The 25,286-nt window shown below is 47.0% G+C and overlaps 1 long non-coding RNA gene across 51 annotated transcripts in view, besides 11 other annotated features; it reads right to left on the bottom strand.

The window, feature by feature from the left end:
• The window catches only part of PVT1 (Pvt1 oncogene), a 306,733-nt gene that overhangs the window by 209,666 nt on the left and 71,781 nt on the right, over nucleotides 1-25,286 (bottom strand). For 50 of the 51 annotated variants that reach the window (NR_186144.1, NR_186151.1, NR_186156.1 and 47 more), the window contains one exon: nucleotides 593-1,002. The exons of the other annotated variant lie outside the window; for it this stretch is intronic. This is a non-coding gene — a long non-coding RNA (Pvt1 oncogene). The remainder of the gene's footprint in view (nucleotides 1-592; nucleotides 1,003-25,286) is intronic. 51 annotated transcript variants of the gene reach the window in all.
• Nucleotides 1,235-1,494: an enhancer, noted in NCBI's record as "active region_27952". NCBI's record gives its function as "activates an Ori minimal core promoter by ATAC-STARR-seq in GM12878 lymphoblastoid cells {active_cell/tissue: GM12878}" and the evidence as "EXISTENCE:reporter gene assay evidence [ECO:0000049][PMID:35858748]".
• Nucleotides 1,235-1,568: a biological region, named in NCBI's record as "Sharpr-MPRA regulatory region 1737".
• Nucleotides 1,274-1,568: an enhancer, noted in NCBI's record as "tiled region #1737; HepG2 Activating non-DNase unmatched - State 17:Gen3'". NCBI's record gives its function as "activates a minimal TATA promoter and a strong SV40 promoter by Sharpr-MPRA in HepG2 cells {active_cell/tissue: HepG2}" and the evidence as "EXISTENCE:reporter gene assay evidence [ECO:0000049][PMID:27701403]".
• Nucleotides 1,274-1,568: a silencer, noted in NCBI's record as "tiled region #1737; K562 Repressive DNase unmatched - State 5:Enh". NCBI's record gives its function as "represses a minimal TATA promoter and a strong SV40 promoter by Sharpr-MPRA in K562 cells {active_cell/tissue: K562}" and the evidence as "EXISTENCE:reporter gene assay evidence [ECO:0000049][PMID:27701403]".
• Nucleotides 4,338-4,387: an enhancer, noted in NCBI's record as "active region_27951". NCBI's record gives its function as "activates an Ori minimal core promoter by ATAC-STARR-seq in GM12878 lymphoblastoid cells {active_cell/tissue: GM12878}" and the evidence as "EXISTENCE:reporter gene assay evidence [ECO:0000049][PMID:35858748]".
• Nucleotides 4,418-4,467: an enhancer, noted in NCBI's record as "active region_27950". NCBI's record gives its function as "activates an Ori minimal core promoter by ATAC-STARR-seq in GM12878 lymphoblastoid cells {active_cell/tissue: GM12878}" and the evidence as "EXISTENCE:reporter gene assay evidence [ECO:0000049][PMID:35858748]".
• Nucleotides 4,508-4,557: an enhancer, noted in NCBI's record as "active region_27949". NCBI's record gives its function as "activates an Ori minimal core promoter by ATAC-STARR-seq in GM12878 lymphoblastoid cells {active_cell/tissue: GM12878}" and the evidence as "EXISTENCE:reporter gene assay evidence [ECO:0000049][PMID:35858748]".
• Nucleotides 10,255-10,754: an enhancer, noted in NCBI's record as "H3K4me1 hESC enhancer chr8:128893083-128893582 (GRCh37/hg19 assembly coordinates)". NCBI's record gives its function as "activates a minimal SCP1, AML or CMV promoter by ChIP-STARR-seq in naive H9 embryonic stem cells {active_cell/tissue: H9 hESC(naive)}" and the evidence as "EXISTENCE:reporter gene assay evidence [ECO:0000049][PMID:30033119]".
• Nucleotides 11,709-11,876: a silencer, noted in NCBI's record as "fragment chr8:128891961-128892128 (GRCh37/hg19 assembly coordinates)". NCBI's record gives its function as "represses an EF-1alpha promoter that drives an FKBP-Casp9 reporter gene in an ReSE screen in K562 erythroleukemia cells {active_cell/tissue: K562}" and the evidence as "EXISTENCE:reporter gene assay evidence [ECO:0000049][PMID:32094911]".
• Nucleotides 14,445-14,992: an enhancer, noted in NCBI's record as "H3K4me1 hESC enhancer chr8:128888845-128889392 (GRCh37/hg19 assembly coordinates)". NCBI's record gives its function as "activates a minimal SCP1, AML or CMV promoter by ChIP-STARR-seq in naive and primed H9 embryonic stem cells {active_cell/tissue: H9 hESC(naive and primed)}" and the evidence as "EXISTENCE:reporter gene assay evidence [ECO:0000049][PMID:30033119]".
• Nucleotides 23,889-24,496: an enhancer, noted in NCBI's record as "OCT4-NANOG-H3K27ac-H3K4me1 hESC enhancer chr8:128879341-128879948 (GRCh37/hg19 assembly coordinates)". NCBI's record gives its function as "activates a minimal SCP1, AML or CMV promoter by ChIP-STARR-seq in naive H9 embryonic stem cells {active_cell/tissue: H9 hESC(naive)}" and the evidence as "EXISTENCE:reporter gene assay evidence [ECO:0000049][PMID:30033119]".

Genomic DNA, 25,286 nt, shown 5'->3' with positions numbered 1-25,286 from the left:
CCTGTGACGTGTGATAATACTTAACCCTTCACTGCAGGGAAAGGAATCCATCAGTCTGCCTGGAGGCATGCAGTGTGTATGTGTTAAAGAGTCATACCCAGGCCTGTCTGCCTCCACATGCATCTGCCCACATACAACCCTCACAGCACCAGCCATATGGCCTTATGTTGTTCCTAGCTCTGAGCACAGAGCCAAGAAATTATCCCCCCATGCATATCTTTCCATTGAATCTCCCATGTCTTCATTCATTAACAATCCTGTCTTAATTTACCCTTTCTGCAGCATGAGAGACTGTGCCAAATGCCACACAATGTCTTAAGGACACAGAACCAACAGCAGAGGCACTTTATAGGGAGGTAGATGGTGACAGATACGTAAACTGGGAACATCAGAAAATGGTGACAGGTACAATAACACACGTCAGGGCAGGGAACAGTAACGGCTTCCAGGAAGGACCTCTTTAGTTCCATCTGTCTCCCCCAGGCACCCAGCATCACGCCAACCACACAGAGGGTGCTCATTAAATGCCACCTCGTTGAGAACACCAGCCACATCCCAGTGAACCCTCCGTGACCAGCCAGGACAGCCTCACCTCAAGCCCAGCTGAGCGCCGGATGGAACGTGCATCAGATGCTTCACCAGGAAGAGTCGGGGTCTTACATTCCATAGGGAGACCCAAAGGAAGTTGGCAGAGATCTAAGTAAACAGAGATCTCAACCCTCTCAGCCAGCTGCAGTCCTTCGTCCCCCATGGACATCCAAGCTGTAAGAATCCATGAGGCATTCAGCCACAGCCTCCCTTAAAACCACTTTTAGTATCCTGAAATGTGCCGGGCGTGTGTCATTCCAGTGCATGGTTCCACCAGCGTTATTCCCCAGACCACTGAAGATCACTGTAAATCCATCAGGCTCAGAAAATACTTGAACGAAGCTCCATGCAGCTGACAGGCACAGCCATCTTGAGGGGCATCTTTTTAATCTCCTTCTGGCCAAAAGATCAGGCCTGCAACAGGGAAGAAGAAAAAAACAGTCTTGTCACAGTCACTGACTCAGAGCAGTATTCAGTCACTCTTTCCTCCTTGTGTTTGGCCCTAACAGAGTGTAACTCACTAAAAATAATTCTCCATAACTGGTAACACACAAAGTTGAGACCGGTGTCCAGGGAGGCCTTCAGGTGAGAGCTGCCTCTCCTGCGGTACGAAGGACCTCTCAGACAGGGAACTGCCAGCTGCTCATAGCCTCAGGAGCACCCTGAGAGGGGAGAGGAGGCTGGGGGGCATCCATTATAAAGTTGAGAGGAGAATGTTTGTGACTGGCTTAGAAAGCTGACAGCAAGGCCAGGCCTGGCACATAGCCTGGGCTCCCCTGCAGGGCTGAGAGGTCCCTGCAGGGAGCTGAGGGGTTTAGGGTCAGCTGGTAGGAAGTAGTTCTTTGTTTTGTTTCTTTTTAAAGACAACCACAAAACCCTGGCCTGACTCCAGGCCTTGTCCTGCACTGTGAGCCTCTTCAGGGCAGGGCCTAGGACCTGTTCTGTTCTTACTCATTCATTCACTAACTACTGAGCACCTGCTAGGTACCCAGCACTCTCCCATCAGGAGGGTGATAGCTTTGTCTTCCCAATCCAGTGTATTTAAATTATTCCAAAGATAACTGAAGAACAAATTGATCCACAATGCCTAGGGCTGGAGGCTCAATATTCCCCATCCACCCAATGATAACAATAACTGTCCTTTGGGGAATGTCTATGATGTATCGGCTAAAAACTCTGGCCTCTCCATCTGATATGATCTCTCAAACACCCTGGGATGCCTGCCCCTGTTTTCCAGATGAAGCAGTGGAGGAACAAACAACCATTCTACTTCAGACTAGTAAGAAGCCTAAATCTGAAGCTAGACAGTCTGTCTCCCAAGTCTGTGCCCTGATCCGCCGCTCTAAGTTACCTAGTGAGGGATTCCTGCCCAGAATGGCCACAGCTAAAACTTACTTCCAGGCTTTCTGCATGTATGAAACCCTCATTTCATCCTCACAAAAAACTATGAGTTGTAGATTATTGTTAACCGACTTTAGAGATGAGAAATTTGAGGCCCAGAGAAGTGAAGCAACTTCCACAAGGTCACACAGCTTTAAAAAAAAAAAAAAAAAATCACAGGAAAAGGGTTTGAGGCTGGGCGCGGTGGCTCACGCCTGTAATCCTAGCACTTTGTGATGCCGAGGCTGGTGGATCCCTTGAGGCCAGGAATTCAAGACCAGCCTGGCCAACATGGTGAAACCCTGTCTCTACTAAAAATACAAAAATTAGCTGGGTGTGGTGGTGCATGCCTGTAATTCCAGCTATTTGGGAGGCCGAGGAATGAGAATCGCTTAAACCAAGGAGACGGAGGTTGCAGTGAGCCAAGATCACACCACTGCATTCCAGCCTGGGCCACAGAATGAGACTCTATCTCAAAAAAAAAAAGAAGAAAGAAAGAAAGAGAGAGAGGGAAGGAAGGAGGGAAGGAAGGAAGGAAGGAAGGAAGGAAGGAAGGAAGGAAGGAAGGAAGGAAGGAAGGAAGAAAGAAAGAGAGAAAGGAAAAGGGGTTTGAAACAAGGCGGACTGGCAGACTGGCTCCAAAGCCCACGAGCTTGACCACTGCTCCAACTTCCATCAAAAGCAACGATTACTGCCAAAGAAATGTTTACAAACGTAGTGGTTTAAAACAGAAAAAGAAATAAAAAATAAAACAGCACACACTTATGATCTTACATTTCTGGAAGTCTGACATGGGTCTCACTGAGCTAAAATCAGGCTGTTGGGAGGGCTGCATTTCTTTCTGGTGGCTGAGAGGGAATGTGTTTCCTTGCTTTTCCAAGCTTCTAAAGGCTGCTTCATAGGCCTTGGCTGTGGCTTCTTCCTCCATCTTCAAATACAACACCAAGGCATCTCTGACTCTGCTTCTGTGGCCATATCTCTGTCTCTGAATAACTCTCTGCCTCCCTCTTCCACTCCTAAGGACGCATGTGATTATATTGGGCTCACCCAGATGATCCAAAATCATCCGTCCACCTCAGGGTCCTTAGCCTTACTAGCATCTGCAAAGTCCCTTTTGACATGCAACATATTCGCAGGTTCTAGGGATTCGGATGTGGACATTTAGGGGGACGTTATTCTGCCTGCCATACAAGAATAACAGAGGGCACCCATCTCCTGTTTTAAGAAGTCTTCCATGAGGAGGCACCACTCATTCCCAAAATGGAAATCAAGCTAGCTGCCTCACCCTGCCCACAATGCACAGAGCCACACACACTTGCAGCGGCTAGTGAAGAAATCACGAAGGAAACAGTAAGGTACGTTTTCTTCTTAAAAAACATATCCAGCCCAGTGCGGTGGCTCACGCCTGTAATCCCAGCACTTTGGGAGGCCGAGGCGGGTGGATCACGAGGTCAGGAGATCGAGATCATCCTGGCTAACACGGTGAAACCCCGTCTCTACTAAAATTACAAAAAATCAGCCAGGCGTGGTGGCACACACCTGTAATCACAGCTACTCAGGAGGCTAAGGCAGAAGAATGGCTTGAACCCAGGAGGCCGAGGTTGTAGTGAGCCAAGATCATGCCACTGCACTCTAGCCTAGGTGACAGAGTGAGATTCAGTCTCAAAAAAAAAAAAAAAAAAAAAAAAAAACAAGATAGAGTGAGATTCTGCATCCAAGTTGGGTTTGACTCCAAAGCTGTTTTCTTTCCATTCTGAGAGACACTCTTTCTTATTTAAATAAGACAGTGTTTCTAGGCCAAGCGTGGTGGCTCATGCCTGTAAATCCCAGCACTTTGGGAGGCTGAGATGGGTGGATCGCCTGAAGTCAGGAGTTTGAGACCAGACTGGCCAACGTGGTGAAACCCCGTCTCTACTAAAAATACAAACAATTAGCCAGGTGTGGTGGCAGGTGCCTGTAATCCCAGCTACCTGGGAGGCTGAGGAACGAGAATCACTTGAACTCGGGAGGTGGAGGTTGCAGTGAACCAAGATTACACCACTGCACCCCAGCCTGGGTGGCAGAGCACAGAGTAAGATTTTGTCTAAAAAATAAAATAAAATAAATAAGACAGTGTTTCTAGAAAGTTCAAGAAGGTTCTGGCAATGGTTGAGTAGTTCCTATTGAAGCAGTTCCCTGGTAGATAGCAACTATAAACTCTGAACAAATATTTCTAAAAATTAGAACAAAGATTTCTAAAAAATCTAGGCACCTGATGACCAAAAGTAGGACATTCTGGAGTGTGATCAAGACCTGGACATTCAGCAAGCCAGTGAGTTCCTGCTTTTGGTCAATTTTAGTCTGAGAGTAGGCCCGGTTCTGCAACATGTGAGTGGCTAACACTCAGATGGTGTTGCTGCACTGAAACATCAGGACAGAGATCAAGGCAACACAATAGGTGAAAGTGAAAGAAGAAATCCTGGTAAAAAGAGAGTTTCCAAAAAGGGGAGTTCAAATTCTGTGTACAAATGTTCCCTAAGTCACTAAGTGACTCCTGAGCCAAGTTTGTATGGAGTAGCCCAGTTAAAGCCAAAAGAACTAAACAGCAATTTATATTGCTGCCCAATACTAGGGAGTCAGAATTTGAAGTCTTAGATTACTGAATTAACTACCTACTGAAACAAAAAAGCACTACTCTTTGGAGGAACAAAACAGAATCAGTCCTTACCAAGTATCACTCACAATGTCTGTGATATAATTTATAATAGCTCAATATAACAAACAACTAAAAAGAAAACAAAAACAGGAAATGTAATCCATTCTTAAGAAAAAAGATAGTTATGGGGACCGTCCCCATGATCCTGAGATGACCCAGTTTCTGGAATTAGCAGACAAGGGTTTTTTAAGCAGCTATTATAACTATGCTCAAAGACTCAAAGGAAAATGTATTCTTAGTAAATAAAAAGATAAGAAAGCTTAGCAAAGAAAGAGCCAAATGGAAATTCTACAATTAAAAAAAAAATCTGAAACAATCAATTGGATCCATTTAACGGCAGACTGAAGAGGAACCAAGAGTCAGTACAATTTGAGGAGAGGCCAATAGAAATTATTTAATCTGAATAACAGAAAAAAATTTGAAAAATTGAAGAGAGCCTCAGAGACCTGTAGGACAATATCAAAAAGCCTAACAGACATGTAATTTTAGTCCCAAAAGGAGAGAAGAGAATGGAGCAAGATCAATATCGGGGGTGGGAAGGGATGAAAGTGTTCTAAATTCAGTGAAAGACATTAATTTATAGATATAAGAATATCAGCAAATCCCATGCAGGATATATATTTTTTTAAATCACACCTAAGTATATAATAGTTGAACTGCTGAAAACCAACATTTGAAAAAAGTCATGAAAAGAGCCAGAGAAAAACAGTGGTTCTAATTTCTTAAAATCATTGAAAAAGCAGATAATTACATCTGAACCCAATATGTGCTCTGCAGGTCACTTCCTCTTGTCCCATTTATTTATTTATTTATTTTATTTATTTTTTCCTTGAGACAGAGTCTTGCTCTGTTGCCCAGGCTGGAGTGCAATGGTGCCATCTCAGCTCACTGCAACTTCCACCTCCCAGGTTCAAGTGATTCTCCTGCCTCAGCCTCCCAAATAGCTGGGATTAGAGGTGTTAGCCACTGCATCTGGCCTTCTTGTCCCATTTAAATCTACCTGAAAGCTTTTAGACCCAAGAGGAAGATGGCTTCAAAAGGAAGCTCAAGTATCTAAACAGCCCCTAAGAGAAAAGAAGAAGGAAGTACAGTAATTAAAAATTACAGTTTGAAGTTAGACTCCCAAATTTACTACGTTTCTTACTCTGGGGAAATGTTTTTAACCCTTAATTTCCTCATCTGAAAATGGTGGTAAACAACATCTACTCATTTCATAGAACTACTGTGAGGTTGTATGATGTTTTGAATGTTTGTTACCTACACCCCCGACCCCTAAATTCATACGTTGAACTCTTAACTGCCAAGGTGATGATCTCAAAAGGGGAGGCCTTTGAAAAGTGATTCGGTCATGAGGCTGGAGGGCTTAGTGCCCTTATAAAAGAGGTATAAAATACCTTATTTGATCCTTTCACCATATAAAGACCCAACAAGAAGGCATCATTGCTAAACCAGGAAACAGGCCCTCACCAGACACCAAATATGTCTGAGCCTTAATCTTGGACTTCCCCACCTCCAGAACCATGACAAATAAAGTTCTGTTGTTTACAAGCTACCAGTCTAAGGTGGTTTGTTATACCAGCCTGAATGGACTGTGACAGGTTGCAATAAACAACATAAAGGACTTAGCATGTTGCTGGGCACATATTAAGAGCTTGACGGATCTATCATTCTCACATCAAATGGAAGAGGCTCCTGCAAGTCACCCCACAGCAGTGACTCCAGGACTGCACACACTCACTCCTCGGCTCCTACAAGTGACCACCAAGACCTGCCAGCCCTGGGAAGCAGCCCAGGAGAGGCACTGCTCCTGAATGTCAGGACTGGAGTACCGTCAGCTGAGAGGGGCCACTTACAACAGGAAGGGGAGCTGTGATTTATGGTACCAGCCTCAGCTAATGACAGGGGAGTGAACAGGGGACACAGTCTGTTGAATATTTACTGAGGCCCACAGGCAAGTCTGAAGCCAAGTTTGTTCTGTTGGGGTCGGATCCATTAAAGCTCTGTCACCTGAGGAAGAATTATGACATGGTCTGTTGGGTATTACTGCAGTCAAGTGGTGGTCCCTGACCAATGGCAAGGACTGCCCTGATGCTCACAAGAAGGTGGCTGCACCTCGCCCTCCGCCTGCAAAAGTACACAATGTGTGGCATTGTACACCGGGATTTCCCGTATCATGAAATCATAATGCTTTCTCAGGGAGCATTTTCTTTTCTCTCCTGATTACTTGCTGTTAGATTCCTTTCATTTGCTCTTTCTGTAATGGGTTGGCTAAAATTTAAAAACCACACAATGCCAATAATTGGCTTTGATGTGGAACTGGAATTCATACGTGCTGGTGAACAGACACTCTGAAAAAGGATAAACAACCACTTTGGGAAACTGTTCTGCACTATTTACTAATGCTGAATATACCCAAACCCTATGACCCTGCAGCTCCACTCCGTGGTATCAATGCACAGATATGTGTGCATATGTTCACCAGAAGACAAGTCTAAGGATATCACAGCAGCTCTATTCATAACAGCCAAACACTGGAAACTACTCAAATGCCCATCAACAGTAGAATGGATTTTTTAAAATATGCACACAATCTAGCGACCAGTGAGAATGATCTGAAAATGCACGTACCACATGAATATATCCCACAAACATAATTTTGAGTGAAAGAAGCAAGACACAGGGGAGTGTGTGATGATGTTATTTAGATTAAGTACATAAACAGGTTAAACTAATCTGTGTGGTTAGAAGTCAGGACAAAGTTCTCCTGAGTGACTGACTGGGAGGGGGCTTCCAAAATGCTGGAAATGTTCTATTGATCCAGGTGCTGGCTCCACACTCAGGTTCAGTTTGAGAACATTCGTCAAGCTATCGATACACATATGACATGTGCACTTTTCTCCATGCACATTATTTCTATAAAAAGGGAGTTTATATTTTTTGAGTTTTCCTGTGAAAATATGTTTGCTGGAATGTCAAAGACATCAGAACACCCCTTCAAGGCCTGGGAATCGGCAGCTTCCAGGTTTCCCTGTTTCATCGTATTCTCACGCCCCACTGCCTCACAGCTGACCCTTCCCCAGAGGACACTGAGGGGAAGTCTTCACAATAAGCATGCTCTGGCCCAGTGACACGGAATTGCCCCACAAGAAAACGTGGCCCCAGCCCCATTCTCTTGGCTCCATCTCTCTCCTCTCTGCCTCCCAGGCTGTCAGGACCAAATCTGTCATTTCCTTCTTTTTTTCTTTTTTTCCAAAGTTAAAATAGGAATTCTTTTTTTATTTTATTTTTTTAATTTTATTTTTTTTTATTATACTTTAAGTTTTAGGGTACATGTGCACAACGTGCAGGTTTGTTACATATGTATACATGTGCCATGCTTGTGTGCTACACCCATTAACTCGTCATTTAACATTAGGTATATCTCCTAATGCTATCCCTCCCCATTCCCCCCACTGTCATTTCCTTCTTGACCCTCCCCACCAGGTATTTCCACTAGCTGAGGCCCTGCCGAAGACATTTGGAAGAAAAACGAAAAACAGGCTGCGTCTATTCCCTACCCAACACCAACAGACCACCTCTGCGCATCCACTCCCCCTCAATATAGGACGGGCAGATGGATGCTTTGGTAACTGAAGACTTAAAGTATACAGGGTTGGCACAGGCTGGTAAATGGGGTATGAGGTACAGAACACAGAAAGTGAGGGAAGGCGTCCCTGGTCCTAAAGCTTTGAGGGGAGCACCGTTTGCAGGGGGAGCCATAATAAGTGTCTCCCAGTGTGTGTGTGGCTGTGCCTTCCTCTCTCTCTCTCTGTCTCTGAGCCTTCTGGACTCCGCATGTGTCTGTGTGTGTGTGTGTGTGTGTGTGATGTGTGTGCATGCATGTGTGCGTGCAAGTGTGTGTGTGCAGGCATGTGTGTGCGTGTATGTGCACATGTGTGTATCTCTTTCCCTCTCTTGCAGAAGGGACCAGTCATGTTGTTAATTTTAGTACCAGCAAGAGTCAGAGGATGTTAATTATAACACCTCTGAGACCCGGTCAATGGGGCAGCAGTTGTAGCAGCAGAAGTGAGAAATCAGTCTCACATGCTAAGTGTGCCTCAATTTCTCTTTCTCTCAGGATTGTGAAGTAAGATTTCTTCAAAACTGGCTGGGTGTGGTGGCTCACGCCTGTAATCCCAGCACTTTGGGAGGCCGAGGAGGTGGATCACCTGAGGTCATGAGTTCGAGACCAGACTGGCCAACATGGCGAAACCCCCTCTCTACTAAAAATACAAAAATTAGCTGGGCGTGGTGGCGGGCACCTGTAATCCCAGCTACCTGGGAGGCTGAGTCAGGAGAATCGCTTGAACCTGGGAGGCGGAGGTTGCAGTGAGCCGAGATTGTGCCATTGCACTCCAGGCTGGGCAACAGGAGCGAGACTCCATCTCAAAAAAAAAAAAAGATTTCTTCAAAACTGATGCCAAAAAGACGATGTCTCCTTTATCTTCTTCTGAGGAAGGGAGAGGTGGCAATTTCTCTGGCTGTGCTCACATTATTTCTCTGTGGTACCCCAGGAGCTGGGGCTTTCCTAACCTGGAAGATAAATCGGGGAGATCTGTTCCCAGAGAAAGCGGCAGCTGTCCCCCCGCTGACAGGCTCTATTTTTGCTTCGTTTCACTTCCTCCCTAACGTGTGCTGGGATGACATGGATCAGCTGCTTTGGAATTCCCAAGCCTTCGAGTGCCTGCTCCCGTCACACTCACCCGATTCCTCATTCAGGGGAGGGGGGATGGGAGCCACAGGAACCAAGGTGTGAATCCTCATGCTGTGGTCACAACCGTGTGGCCTTGGGCACATCCCTTAAGCTCATTGAAAGTGTTTCCTCATCTGTTCAATAAAACAAAGAATAAGCCGGGCACAGCGGCTCATGCCTGTAATCCTAGCACTTTGGAAGGTGGAGGCGGGCAGATCACTTGAACCCAGGAGTTTGAGACCAGCCTGGACAACATGGTGAAACCATATCTCTACAAAAAATACAAAAATTAGCTGGCAGTGGTGGCGCACCTGTAGTCCCAGCTACTCAGGAGGCTGAGGTAAGAGGATTCCTTGAGTCCAGGAAGTCAGTGGAGGTTGCAGTGAGCCAACAGCCTAGGTGACAAAGTAAGACCCTGTCTCAAAAAATAATAATAATAGGCCGGGTGTGGTGGCTCACACCTGTGATCCCAGCACTTTGGGAGGCCAAGGCAAGTGGATCACCTAAGGTCAGAAGTTCGAGACCGGCCTAACTAACATGTTGAAACTCCATCGCTACCAAAAATACAAAAATTAGCTGAGTGTGGTGGCGGGCACCTGTAATCTCAGCTACTCGGGAGGCTGAGGCAGGAGAATCACTTGAACCCAGAAGGCGGAGGTTGCAGTGAGCTGAGATTGTGATTGTGCCACTGCACTCCAACCTGGGCGACAAGAGTGAAACTCCATCTGAAATAATAATAATAATAATAATAATAATAATATAATAACAATAATATTAATAATAATATTATTATTATTATCTCAGAAAAACAAATGATAATAATAATAATAAGGAATAGAAACATGTGTCCACTGGAGTTCATCTGCGGACAAGACTGAATGTATAGAGAGTGCTCCGGCACACAGTGGGCTCACAACACAAGCAGATAGTCAAAGTCACCCTCAACAGCACAGCGCTGCTATTATGGTGGTTACTCCCACGAGTCAGACTCGGGAGATGCAAACCGAACCCAGTCCAGTTCCCTAATGTTATTAAGGGCTTGATTTCCTTCTGCACTTTGCCAGACACAATGTGGGTCTCCACAAGGAGGAGGCAAGCAGCCAGTATAGAACCAGCCTTCTACCAGCAGGCACCTTCATGGGCATGATGCAGCAGAGCCCTGCTTGAGCTCTGCAAGGTACATTGCTTAGAGCCATTCTTCAGGAATACTGACATTCGGGTTCTGCCAGCCTCCAGCAACCCATGCGTGTCCGGCACAGTGCTTGGGAACTCAACATCGCTTAAGAAATGACTGGAAAGCTGAGCGCAGTGGCTCACGCCTGTAATCCCAGCACGTTGGGAGGCTGAGGCGTGTGGATCACGAGGTCAGGAGTTCAAGACCAGCCTGGCCAGCATGGCAAAACCCCGTCTCTACTAAAGTACAAAAAATTAGCCAGTCATGGTGGTGCACGCCTATAGTCGCAGCTACTCGGGAGGCTAAGGCAGGATAATTGCTTGAACCCAGCAGGCGGAAGTTGCAATGAGCAGTGATCATGCCACTGCACTCCAGCCTGGGAGACAGAGTGAGACTCCATCTCGGAAAAAAAAAAAAAAAAAAAAGGGCCGGGGGCGATGGCTCATGCCTATAATCCCAGCACTTTGGGAGACCGAGACAGGCGGATCATGAGGTCAGGAGATCGAGACCATCCTGGCTAACACAGTGAAACCCCACCTCTACTAAAAATACAAAAAAAAAAAAATTAGCCGGGCGTGGTGGCGAGCGCCTGTAGTCCCAGCTACTCAGGAGGCTGAGGCAGGAGAATGGCGTGAACCCGGAAGTGGAGGTTGCAGTGAGCCAAGATCATGCCACTGCACTCCAGCCTGGGGGACAGAGCAAGACTCCGTCTCAAAGAAAAAAGGAATTGTTGACTGGAATAGTGGGTGATTAATTCCAGCTACACAGACAGTGTTCACGTGCTAGCTCCTAGCACAGTGCTAGAAGCCAGAAATCATATCAAACATGAAAGACACAATCCTGACTTCATGGAGCTTTCAGGCTGTACTAAGATTTCCAGAGAAGCAGGACATGTCCATAAGCGAGGACATTTGTTGATAACCAGGTTGCCCTGGCGGGCTGGCAGAAGCTGAGGAACAGGAGGAAAGGTTGGACCACATAGAATGTGAGAGGCCCCAGTACGTCAGCACACAAGAAACCTTGGAAATAATCTCGTTCAATGTCCTCACTGAAGAGCTGAGAAGTAAGGCCTGGAGAAGTAAAGTGACTTGCCCAAGATCACCCAGCGAAGACCTGCAGATGCAGAGTGAGAAGCAAATCTCCATGAGAAGGGTGCGCTGGGCACAATGCCTAGAGGAGGAACTGGTCCTTAAACTGGTGGGTGCTGGCGCATTGTCCGTCGAAGGTGGCATGACCAGAAGCCCAGAAGAGCATGTAATTACCACACTTCCTGAGTGCTGGTTCTGAGAGCATTGGTTGTGTTCCTGTAATCTCCAACAATGCTGTGAGATACGAACTCACTAAGAAACGAGAACACTGGTGCACAGCAAAGCCCAAGTATGCCCAAGCCATGCAGGAGTCAGCAAGAGACAGAGCTAGGATACGAGCCCAGGCACTGCCTCCGGAGACTTTGTTCTTTTTTGTTTGTTTGTTTTGTTTTGTTTTGTTTAATTGAGATAGAGTCTTGCTCTGTCACCCAGGCTGGAGTGCAGTGGCGTGATCTCAGCTCACTACAACCTCCACCTCCTGGGTTCAAGTGATTCTCCTGCCTCAGCCTCCCAAGTAGCTAGGATTACAGGCACCTGCCACCACGCCCGGCTAATTTTTGTATTTTTAGCAGAGACAGGGTTTCACCATGTTGGCAAAGCTGGCCTCCAACTCCTGACCTCAACTGATACCCCGGCCTTGGCCTCCCGAAGTGCTGGGATTACAGGCAGGAGCCACCACGCCCAGCCCTGGGTCTTTGTTCTTAACCACTAGTCTGCCTTGCCTTTGAAGAATTATGTGATGAGAAAGACTGGAGGCAGAGCCATAGGATAAGAAGCTTCTAAAAGAAAGAGATGGGAATGGCACTTTGCTGGGAAATGCAAGGAAAATAGAGATTTCCAAAGCATCAATATCATCTACTGCCAGGAGTTGACCAAAACAGCCCCAATAGGGCTCACGCCTTGCTCTTTTTCCCTCAGTAATTTCTTCACGTCATCCATGACATCCTTCTCCAGACTGGCTCCCTGTCAGAGTAGATAATGTGTCTAGTTGTGGCCTGAAGCCATAATATCATTCCCCCTAGGCTCAGGGAGTGGGGAGGCAGGCGTCCCCAGAACAGCCCACCCCTGGCCACTTCTCCCCACCCCCTTGCAGGTGAGAAGGCAAACACCCTCATCTGCAAGATGCCTGTGGGCAGCATCCAGGGAGGCTGTGGGTATTTCTCGCTGATGGGCACTGTCTTACAGATCCATTAGGACTCAGGCACCTAAAAGTTATGGGAATATGACTGTGCCAATAAGGATCCCAGGGTTACCTCACGATAGCCTTCTTTTTAATTAACTAGACCAGACCAGACCAGTAAGGAATAGCAACAGTAATTTTAAGACAGAAAGAGAGGCAGACAGGAAGACAGGCAGACAGTGGCAGGGAAGGGAAAGAGGAAGAGAGGGAAAAAAGAGGGAGGGATGCAATGTCAAGCAATAACCAACGCTTCAGAGACAAACAGGCTAGGGGGAGAATTCTAGCTCTGAGGCTTCCAAATCTGCGAAGCTTTAAGCTTCAGTTCTTTGAACCTGCATCCATATCTGTGAAATGCCTTGCAGAGTTGGGGGAAGGCTAGAGATAACCCAAGTGAGGTCCTTGCACCTAGTAGATCCTCAATATAGGAAAAGCTCCCATTTAATCAGGCTCACCTCCACTCTCCTTCATCTTTAGGCTCAAGATGATTAAGATGCTGAAATGACGAAGAAGAGTCATGAACACTGTTCTTCTCCAAGTGACAGACCTTCAAAATTTGTGGGGTTTTTTTTTTCAATTTCCTTTTGTTTGACTATGCCCACAAAATCCCTCAGGGAAAGGTCAGCAAAGGTCCAAATGTCAATCAATCATGAACAAAGGGGTAAAGTGCCAAGGACCTGAGCCGTCAAACAATGACTCAAGGTGACAGTTCTTTACAGAACAGCAGGACCTGCACTTGAAGATTCCAAATACAGAAGGTTCTACAGTGTGCATGTTCTCCAAGAAAGTTCAGTAAGGTTTTTTGTGGGGGAGGGGGGTTGTTGTTTTTTTGAGACAGAGTCCGGTTCTGTCACCCAGGCTGGAGTGCAGTGGCGTGATCATGGCTCACTGCAGCCTCAAACTCCCAGGCTCAAGCAATTCTCCCACCTCAGCCTCCAGAGTAGCTGGGACTACGGGTGCGAGCCACCATGCCCTGCTAATTTTTGTATTTTTTTTGTAGAGAGAGGTTTTCATCATGTTGCCCAGGCTGGAAAGAAAGTTCACTAAGTTTGACAGAGACTCAAGAGTTTATACTGGTCCCTGTCTGCAAAGAGCTTAAAATCTCATTTACAAAACAGGACTATGAGAAATAGTCCGTTTAAGGACTAAGTCAAAATGTTATCCTAAACAGTAGTAGATGTGCGGTGTGGAGTTCAGGGAAGCTCCACGAGAGATCAGAGCTGCTTTTCTGGGTTGTCTATGTGTCCCCTGAGAGGAATCTAAGTTGGGAAGAGAGAGAGAGAGACCCTCGGGGTAGAGGTTGGGGCTAATGTCAAAATAAGGAGGATGAAAGGAAATGGCATTTATCAGTCACCAGTCACAAAGAAAACCCTTTTAATTTCCCACTTAATCCCCATGTATCCTCACAACCCCACAGACAGGTCTCATATCTGAAAGTTACAGAAACAGCAGCGTGAAAAGGGCGGGCCCCTTGCCCAGTTTGTGTGGCTGAAGAGGGTGGCCTTGAACCCAGGTCCATAAGACTGCAAGTCCCCTCGGGGGCCATCATCACACCACAGCCTGCTTCACTTTAGAATCTGGGCACATTCTAGGCGCTCTGAGCTCCCGCTGTCTCAGGCGCTGGGGAGTTGTCCTCCTCGGCGAGAGGAAACTTTCCACCACGCCACTCTGCTAAACCTGTCCTCTCCCACATCCCACAGCTCCATACATCCCATAAGCACCACCTTTGTTCCAACTCCTCTTTAAAACCTGGATTAGCTGGGCTTCCGGGGAGGTCACGCTCCTGACTTTGGAATGCACTTCTGACTTTCTCAGAAGCAGGTCTCTACTCAAGTCACGCAGGCACATCTCGCTAAGTAAACTTTGGCAGCCATCTAGCTTGCCCAAGGATTCTGGGTAAGTCCAAATTGGGGGGATGGGGCAAATGAAAGCGATGACAGCACGAACAGCCCATGACCAGGAGCAGGCACATCGGCTCTGCTCTGCTGTCACCCAAGCGCCACGGAGGACAGGAGTTGTGGAAAACTGGCAGCAGGTGCTCTGGGGGCACCTAGGAGCTGACATGGTTCCCTCCTCCGCCTGCTTAGAGGACAGATCCCACTTAGTCCCCATCCCTTCAGAACTGGAGGGGCCAGGAGATGGGAAGAGTGTACGGGTAATGCTAATATCATCCAGGGAAAGGTAAAGGACGAAAGCGGGAGGAGATGAGAGGAAAGGGAGAGAAGGGGAAAGAAGGGAGCAGCTAAAATAAATACACAGGAGACATACAAATTCACTGTATTAAAAACCTGTCAGATATAATAATACTAATAAAATAAAAATAAAATAAAATAATTAAAAAAATAAAAATAAAAACCTGTCAGAATAGCACTCCAGAAAAGAACCCTGACTTGGGGAACCTGAGTCCCCAGAGCTCTGTGGGAACTGGGTGGCATTACAGCATTCATAGCAAACCAAGTGTGAAACCACACATACACACACACACACACACACACACACACACTGCTGTTTGGGGCGTGTGTGTGAATCACTGTATGTTTTCCAGGTGTCTCCATGGTGCAAGTCACAGTACTGGTCTCTTAAAAGGCTTCTCCCAGTCTTCCCCTCTAGGTCAGTGGCTCTCAAACCTGAGTGTGCCTAAGCACCACCTGTGGACTTGCTCCAATGCAGATCCGGAGGCCCAACCCCGTAACTCTGTTCAGTAAACCTGGCTGAGGGTGAGGGGGGGTGGAGGGTGCCTCTTTGCCAGGTCCCCCAGGTAAGGCAGGGGTGCCACAGAACTCCCCAGAGAAACCCTGTTTCAGAGGACTTACTGCTCAGAGAGCAATCAATCTCTTTCCAGCATGAGGCCTTGGAGATAAAAAAGAATACGAGTGATGGTTGCTGAAAGGGAGAAGAAGGAGCCCACGACCTGCCCTTACTGAGCTCCATTCTGTGCTGAGCACAGGCGGGGTCCAAACACTCAGGGTCTCCCTTCCTCCCCACCCTTCCCTTGGAAGCAGTTGCTAGAAGCTTGTGCATATGAGCAGCTAAGGCTCCCCAGGGTGCCTTGTCCAAGGTCACTGAACTAGGAAATAGCAGAACTAGGAACTTCCCTTTGTCTCAGAGAAAAGAAAATGAGGAAAGGAGTACACGCTATATCACGGAGATGTGGAGCGCCTTAGAGGAGAAGAAGGAAATGGAAAAGAAAACAAGGAAAATAAATTATTGAGCACATATGACTTTGCACACTTGGCCACATCCCTTTAAATCCTTCAGTCCTTTACTATGCTTATTTCATAGATGAGGAACGGAGGCTCGAAATATGTCTAATGATGAAGTATTCCTCTTATAATCAGAAAACAACATGTGAAAAAGGGAGAGGGAGAAAGAAGAGAGAGAGAGAGAGAGAGACAGAGACAGAGACAGACAGAGTCAGAGACAGAGACAGAGACAGAGACAGAGAGGACACACACCTCTCCCTTCTTGCTATGGCTCCAGAAATCAGGCCACCTCTGTGTACCCTCCTGGCTCTCACAAACCGTAACACCCGGAGGAAGAACAGACCCCAGCTGTGAGGAAGGGGACGATGTGCAACTTTCCACAGTCACTGGTTAAGGTGGGAAAGAGTTAAAACCAAAATCCAGCACCCCAATTTCTCCCCCAAACACCATAGAAAACTGAGTGCAACTAGCAATGACACTTCTCATCATTATAGTGGAGGACGTTCCTCCACTCTAAATACACAGGCACCCAAGGGGTCACATCCAAAGAAGCACGCATGGTGAAAGGGCAACTGCACCTGCTCCAGCAGGCACAGTGCAGCCCAGGGCCACACACCCACACACACACACACACACACACACACACACACCTGGAGGCCAACCAAGACTGCAGAGCGAGGGAAGGGCCAGGTGGCAGGCCAAAACTCAAAGATCAGTAGGCTTCCTGCAGGTGGGAAGGGTACCCACCAGGGATGTGAAGGAAGGGAAGGGTGGGCAAAAGCCTTAAGGAGGATGAAAACCTTCTTTTGGGGAAGAAGAAGATCACACAACAAATTGAACTGCTTCACTTCTGTCTCAAACCCGCTTCACAATCAGGCCAAAGGTAATACCCACTGCTAACATTCACGGTGCACATTTCAGATCAGAGACACTGCACACCAAGAATTTGAGTGTGGCTCAGACTCTCAACACCCCTCCTAGGAAGGTACCAGTCTCATACTTGTGTTACAGGTGACAAAACCATAGCACCAGCCATATGGGTGGGAATAAGATGAACTGGGATTGAAGATCCACAGTCCAAGCTCTTACACTTTTAGCTTCAGCTGCAACCATCCCTGATCTCTGGACATGGTGGATGTGTCATTCACTGATTCTCCTCTGGGCTTCTGTACCTGCTGTTCCTCTAACTGTTACCCACCCTTGGTGAACCTCTACTCATCCTACAAAGCCCTTCTCCTCCTCTGTGCAGCCTTTCCCAATCTTCTCATTAACCCCTTGCGACTCTCAGCTGAATCCACTGCTGCCCCTTCTCCAGTGCTCCCATGGCATCATGACATTATCAAATTTAAATCCTAAGCCTGTCACCTCTACTGTGTCATTCACTCTAGCACTGCACCCCAAGATGCAGAACTGCATGTACTAAAAGCATGCAGACTGTATTTTCTCCATAACCCTCGCCCCAAATTGAGCTGCCCTGAGCTTTGCATGTTCCCTTGAGTGTCTTACACAAAGCTGTGAGCAGCTTGAGGACAGTGACTACACAGCCTTAAATTCTACATCTCCCAGATATAGGGTGCTTGGCTGCTTGGCAGCTAGTGGTGCTCAATTAATGTTCACACTGGGTATTCATCCACTAGACATTTACTGCACACCTATTGTATGTTAGTCACTGTGCTTGGCCAGAATGATGGAGACCATTTTTAATGAAGAGATGGCAAAAGATTGCAAAGGAAAAATGGACAACACAGAATCATTGATTCATAGAGGCAGCAAAGTGGAGAAATGGAGCAAAGATTCTGTGGGGCAAAGGCCTCCTCTGGGAAGCCCAGGCTCTGAAATCTCCATAGCACATTTGCACCCTGCCTCCATTGCATACTGTGTACACCAAGAGGGGTATTTAACATTCCTAAGTTTCACCTTCCTTCTCAGAAATTAACAACTCCCTTTACTCCCTCCCAGCTCTTTTACCTGCTGGGAGGATAAAATGAGACAATCCATGCAAATTGCACGCCGGGTCCCTCCTACACAAAAAAACATGAAATAGATATTAGCTACTATTGATACCACCTACTAGCTCAATACGTGAAAGTGAAAGCTAGCCATGATGATTTTTCAGCAGCCAAGAATGCTCCTGAAGGATAAACACACTTTTGTGCTTCCAGAAGTTAGAAGGGGTCTCCTTCCTATTCATTTTCCAAATAAGGTTAAGAAAGTGTTACCCTTCAGTTAATTCCAGATGCCAAGTAATCCAGGGCTGTGCTTACCCAGCAAGTAAAAGAGCTGAAGGTAAATCAGGTGTGTGTCATGGGAATCTTCAGAAGGCTGCAAGGAGAAGCAGGCATTCAGTCTGAGCCTGCCCAGATTTCTCTAAAACTCGCAGGAGGACACACCCAGAGGCCAGAGGCAGGCCCTTGTCTTGGGACACCATAGGCGCTCCAGGCTGGAAGCCTTCTGCCCCATATCCTCACCTAACCCCAAGCAGAACAGCCAGAGCAGGCCAACACCAGCAAGTGAGAGGGCAGGAAAACAGGAGGAACCATGCGGGGCTCAGTAGGAGAGAGCAGCTCAGTGGTACAGTCAGCAACAGATCAGGAAATGGACAGGGCTGTCCCGTCACTTTGCTTTAATGTATCTGGATTCCTAGAAGATCTGAAGCAAGGGGCAGGCGTGGGGACAAAGAATATATCTCAAACCACAAAGGACCAGGGACCACTGTGGACATAATTTCATCAAAAGTCTGCTGTAACTCTCATGATGGCCTTTGACAGTGGCAAGACTGTCCCCCATGTGAGACCTGAAACACTGAAATAATCAAGCTCAGATTCCGAGCCAGGGTTTTCTGGATGCTTCCATTGAAATTCTCTGCCAAAGTACAGGCATGACATTCTACGGAAAGGTCACTTCTACTTTTAACATTTCTGTAGTGTTTGAAGTTATTTTTAATGAACTTTTTATTTAATTTTTAATTTTTGTGGGTACACAGGCATATATATTTATAGGGTACATGAGATATTTTGATAGAGGCACACAATGCATAATAATCCCTTCAGGGTAAATGGGGCATCCATCACCTCAAACATTTACCCTTTCTTTGTGTTACGAACAATCCAATTAAACTCTTATTTACTTATTTATTTATTTGAGACGGATACTCTCTCTGCCACCCAGGCTGGAGTGCAGTGGCGCAATCTCAGCTCACTGCAATCTCCACCTCCTGGGTTCAAGCGATTCTCCCACCTCAGCCTCCAGAGTAGCTTGGGTCACAGGCACCCACCACCAAGCCCGGCTATTTTTGTATTTTTAGTGGAGATAAGGTTTCACCATGTTACCCAGGCTGGTCTTGAACTCCTGACCTCAGTGATCTGCCTGCCTCGGCCTCTCCAAGTGCTGGGATTACAGGCATGAGCCACCACACCCGGCCTCTTTTAGTTTTTTGAGGGTTCTTTTGTTTTTGTTTTTTTGAGACGGAGTCTCACTCTTGTCCCCCAGGCTGGAGTGCAATGGCATGATCTCAGCTCACTGCAACCTCCGCCTCCCGGCTTCAAGTGATTCTCCTGCCTCAGCCTCCAGAATAGCTGGGATTACAGGTGCCCATCACCACGTCTGGCTAATTTTTTTTGTATTTTTAGTGGAGACGGGGTTTTGCCATGTTGGCCAGGTTGGTCTCCAACTCCTGACCTCAGGGGATCCGCCTGCCTTGGCCTCCCAAAATGCTGGGATTACAGGCGTGAGCCACTGCGCTCAGCCAGTTATTTTTAAATGTACAATATATTATTGTGGACTGTACTTCTAATACAATCAGAAAAAAAAGTACAGATGCTTCGCTGGGTTTTGTTTTTGAATCAACATCTGGCACCAGAACTTGCAGATATTCCTCTCTGGGTGTGGGAACAGTTCCTGGATATGGGTCAAAAAACACCACCAAAGAGCTGTATCTTGATCTCTTCTCCTCACAGTTGACGTCATGCCCTACACTAAGAGGCAGTCACATACTTTACCCGATTCTGGTGGACTCTGCCTAAGGACAGACAAGCAGAGGGCCCCTGGACACTGGGAGTCCAGCGCATCCCTTCCTCAGCAGCAAAATTTGCAAAGACCTCATCAGCTGTGCCGACATCACACAAACCTAGGATGTGAAGCATCCCTCTCCTCGCTAATGTCTATTTGATACAAAAGTTTTCATATCCATTCCCCTGCATTCCATGAGTAAAAAACACATTTATTCTGAGATTTGCCATCCCCTGAGAGGGCTCCTGGGCATCGCGTCAGCAAAAAGGCAGTTGTATGTGCTAACTCCAGGCCAAAATGTGGAGGAGTGTCACTTATACGCAGTGTCCCTGTCCCACACAGCCCCTCCTGGTGCTCCCTGGAGAGGCACACAGCAGGCAGTAACCATTCCTCTGCATTGCGTGTTTTAGATTTGCTCTCTGTCTTTATTTTTTCCTTGCAGAGGAGGTAGACAGGGCATGGTTTTCAACCCACCCACAGGGTGATCTGGAATATAGACCAGGAGGACAGGAATTAATTCAGCATTTCACCCTCTGAACTTCCTGCCCTCCCTAGTCACTGGACAGAGAGGAGGAGGAGGAGGAGGCAGAAAGGAGACGTGACTGTGGCCGTCACAGAGTTAATAGGACACACGGCATATTCAGCAACACTACTCACCACTTTGGCAAACAGTATAAATAATAAGGGCTCACATTTTCAGGCTGCATGCTGGGGCTTTACATGCATCATCGCATTTAATCATTGCCTTGACCCAGACAACTTTGCAAGTAAGGTCACTGAGGCCCAGAAATGTTAAGCCATCTGCCCAAGATCTCATAGCTAGTAAGTGGGAGAAGGAGCTTCCTCTAGCTGAAGAGGATGTTTGTCTAGACATTTCAAGAGCTCCCAGAGCTCTAAATGCAGAATGAAATGGCCAGTTCTACAGATACTTCAGCTTTCCTTCATTCAGTAAATATTTACCAAGTAGTCCTATGTAAAGGGAGGGAGTGCCGCTCATTCTCCCGCTCCACTTCCCTCAATCCCCAAAGGGTATTTGGTTCTGTGTTGGCTACTGTCTTAGTTTCTGAGGGCAGCCATAACAAATTGCTACAAACTGGGTGGCTTACATCAGCAGATGCACTCTCTCACAGTTCTGGGGACTAGATGTCCAAGATCAAGGTGTCAGCGGGACTGTGCTCCCTCTGAAGGCTCCATGAAAGATCCTTCCTTGCCTCTTTCTGGCATCTGGTGGCTTCCTGCAATCCTTGGAGCTCCTTGGCTTGTAGCTGTGTCACTCTAATCTCTGCCTCTGTGGTCACATGGCCTTCTCCCTGTATCTCTACAAATCCTTCTTTCCTATGTCCCTCTCTTCTCCTCTGAGGACATGGGTCATTGGCTTTAGCCCCCACCCTAATCCAATATGATATCATCTTAAGTAATGACATCTAAAAAGACCCAATGTCCACCAGGCACAGTGGCTCGTGCCTGTAACCCCAACACTTTGGGAAGCCGAGACAGGAGGATCACTGAAGGTCAGGAGTTCGAGACCAGCCTGGCCAACATGGTGACACCCTGTCTCTACTAAAAGTACAAAAAATAGCCAAGCCTGGTGGCGGGTGCCTGTAATCTCAGCTACTCGGACGGCTGAGGCAGGAGAATAGCTTGAACCCAGGAGGCAGAGGTTGCAGTAAGCCGAGATCACGCCACTGCACTCCTTCCTGAGTGACAGAGCGAGACTCCATCTCAAAACAAAAACAAAAACAAAAACCCTATGTCCAAATAATGCCATGTTCTGAAGTTCATACAGGCATGAATTTTGGGGGGACACTACTCAATCTGGTACAATTATTTACTATGTTCTTCTACTATAAGGTAAAATTTGTAAATGACAAACATTCTCAAGCTTGCAGGTTATGAAGTAGCAGGGAACAGTAGAAACAACCAGGCCCTTAAGGTCTCAGAAAAACAAGAGGAGGGAAAGAGCCTAATGGGAAACAGTTGGTATTGTCTACCATCTTCTTTGTCCCTTCGACTTGTGATATTAGTCCAACACTGCAAAGCTCAATACTAAGTAATAAGACTGCAATACATATTTGAAAGCATCAGCATCATTTTGTTTTTTAATAATAAAAAATAGGCCAAGCGTGGTGGCTCACACCTGTAATCCCAGCACTTTGAGAGGAGGAGGTGGGTGCATCACCTGAGGTCAGGAGTTCGAGACCAGCCTGGGCAACATGATGAAACTCCATCTCTACTAAAAATACAAAAATTAGCCGGGTGTGGTGGTGCATGCCTGTAATCCCAGCTACTCAGGAGGCTGAGGCAGGAGAATCACTGGAACCTGGGAGGTGGAGGTTGCAGTGAGCCGAACTCATGCCATTGCGCTTCAGCCTGGGCAACAGAGCGAGACTCCATCTCAAAATAAATAAATAAATAAAGAATAATAATGCCAACTTCATGATTTACTAACAACTGCTTATAAATAATTCATTGTAATTTTAACAATATAGAACTTGCAAAATTGTTGAGTCCACCCTGAACCAGACCCCTAAGCCTCCAGTCAATATTATCTCTGCCATCTACAGCTTCTTAAGCTACTTGTTATTGACTTTGGTCCAGCAGAAGCAACTCCTGAATACCAAAGTGTGCCTGAAGATCACAGCAGTGCCTGTGGGTTTGTTTTGGGAAATTTTAAGTAATTCTTAAAGTCTGAGAAACTTTTAAAAAGTAAAGAGATAATACATACATATATATATATATGTACATATATATGTATATATATATATATATATATATGTTAAAAGGAAGGAGAAATAATAGGATGCAAAATTATACACACAGGACTATTAAAAAAAACCTGTGGGCCAGGTGCAGTGACTCACACCTGTAATCCCAGCACTGTGGGAGGTGTAGGAGGGTGGATAATCTGAGGGTGGATAACCTGAGGTCAGGAGTTGGAGACCAGCCTGGCCAACATGGCGAAAACCCATCTCTACTAAAAATACAAAAAAATTAGCTGGGTGTGGTGGCATGCACCCGTAACCCCAGCTACTCTGGAAGCCGAGGCACGAAAATTGCTTGAACCCAGGAGGTCGGGGTTGTAGTGAGCCAAGTTCATACCATTGTACTCCAACCTGGGCAATAGAGTGAGACTCCATCTCAAACAAAAACAAACAAACAAAAAAAACTGTGATTCAAGTGACAGGAAATTGGTAAAATCAACCATATGCCTGGATTCTGGAAATGAACACTGTTTCATTTCTGGGTGGTGGAACTCATGTTTTAAATTCCCTTCTTTTCAGTGAGTAGGGAATGCCACAGACCCTGAGGCCTTATAGCTCAGAGAGCTAGTGCTAAGGTGGACCCTAACCTCTCTAGGTCTTCCCACCACCTCGCAGAACTGCTCTAGGATTAAATTAAATGACTTAATATTTGCAAAGGACTTAGAAGAGTTACCTAGCTTCTAGAAGGACTACAGAATTCTTTGTTAAGCAAAATAAATATCTATTTCATAATAAGAAAAAGATTATTTTAAAAGTCAAGGAAAAAAACACTGGCAGACAAGGACAGAGGGATCACAGAGGAAGGAGCCTCATGCCCCGGGGGCTGTGCTGTTGCCTCTTGTTATGTTTTCCTTTGATAATAGTTGAGATGGACGTCCTGCCCTCAGTGAAGGCATACTTCAGATTCAGCAGGAGGCAGCAACAGTGATTTTATTAGGGGGCAGAGGGTGAGTGACCTAGGGCCTCTGGGACATTTTCATCCGGAGATGCTCCATAAAGGATGACATCTCAGATCTTAGCTTCAGGTCTCAGATTTCCCAGTCCCCTTCTCCCCACCCCACCCGCCACCATGTCTCTGCATCCCCCAACATATCTGCATAAAAAATGAGACTGCACAGCCACAGGGGCTATCCTCGAAGTTCATTTTTTACCTTCAATCAAGGCCAGCCCAGAGGGCATTACCATCCCAACAGCCCGGCCTTTGTCAGACAGGAAGGCAGAGTGAGGATCGAAAAGCAGGGAGTAAGTGCTGGTTCAGCAGAGCCCTCCCCAGCGGAGCATCCTCCAGAAGCATCGCTCATTGTTATTCCAGCCAGGTGTCAGCAAGCTGGCCAAGCCCGGGATACTGCCGAGGAATGTGCACATCAAGATCAGAGATAATTCCCCTCACAAAATTCCTCACCTCCCACCCCTCTAACTGCGGAGGAGTAAATGGGGGTGTTCCAGGCAGAGGAGCTGATGGGTCTCCTTTGCACAAAAAAGGACTGCCAGGCTGTGGCGGCTTGGACCCCTCCTCCTCCACCCTCCCAGGCAAGTGTGCCCCTCCCCCTTCTTCCTTCCTGACAGCCTGACCTTGGCTGAGGCCAAACACATGCCCAGGCAGTATCCCTGGCCATTCCTAGCATTCTGGGCAAGCAAGCCCGAGGAAGGCCGCAGGCAGGTCTTGAGCAGAACTGAGAAGGGCATCTGAGGCCAGCTAAGCCAGGCCCTAGGTGGAAACCACTTGGTAGAGCTTCACCATTCAGGCGAGCAGCCCATGCACTGCCCAGCTGATGACTTGGGTTTCAAGTCATCCTCTACAGTGAATCAGTGAATGCAAGCCTTACACACAAACACACATAGCATTAGTGCAAACTCCTCACAGGCACAAGGAGCCTTCCTCTAACACGGCCCAAGGCTCCTTGATAATGTGTTTACCTGGCATAATGTGTAGCATCTGCGGAGGGTCGGCAGATGGGAGGCAAGATCTGCCTAGGTCTCGGAGCCCAAGATCTTCCCTGTGTACTAATATGAATGCACAGACAATACATAACAGTCTGGTCTCCTGCAGTGATGTCTGCCTTCACCAGTGATTAACTGAACCTCCAGCACAAACTAAGGTCTCTGCACTGCTTCTGCCACTGTCTGTCACCATCCTGGAACCCACCAGATAGCAGGTTCCTCTCTCCATCTCCTATCCCCTTCCCCCTGCGACCACCCCATGCTCACCCAGCCCACTCCTGTCTCTATTAGATAGGGGCTACTCCTCCAGGCCTCCTTCATTCCTCTGATGCTGAAGGAGAGGGAGTGGGAGGGGACACTGAAGGAAGGCAGGATGTCCCAGTGCCTATGATCCAAGAGCAGGACAAGCCACCAGCAGGTCAGCAGTGGGCCTCAGCTCAGAGAGCACCAGCATCTCTGTCATCTGGCCCCCACTCTGCCACATCCTATTCCTGTGGGTCAGGGGCAGGAAAGCAGACCCAGGGGCAGCCATGCTCCC

The sequence above is a fragment of the Homo sapiens genome, chromosome 8 (genome assembly GCF_000001405.40).
Source record: "Homo sapiens chromosome 8, GRCh38.p14 Primary Assembly".
Lineage (NCBI taxonomy): Eukaryota > Metazoa > Chordata > Mammalia > Primates > Hominidae > Homo > Homo sapiens.
This window is presented reverse-complemented; position numbering and strand designations above follow the sequence as displayed.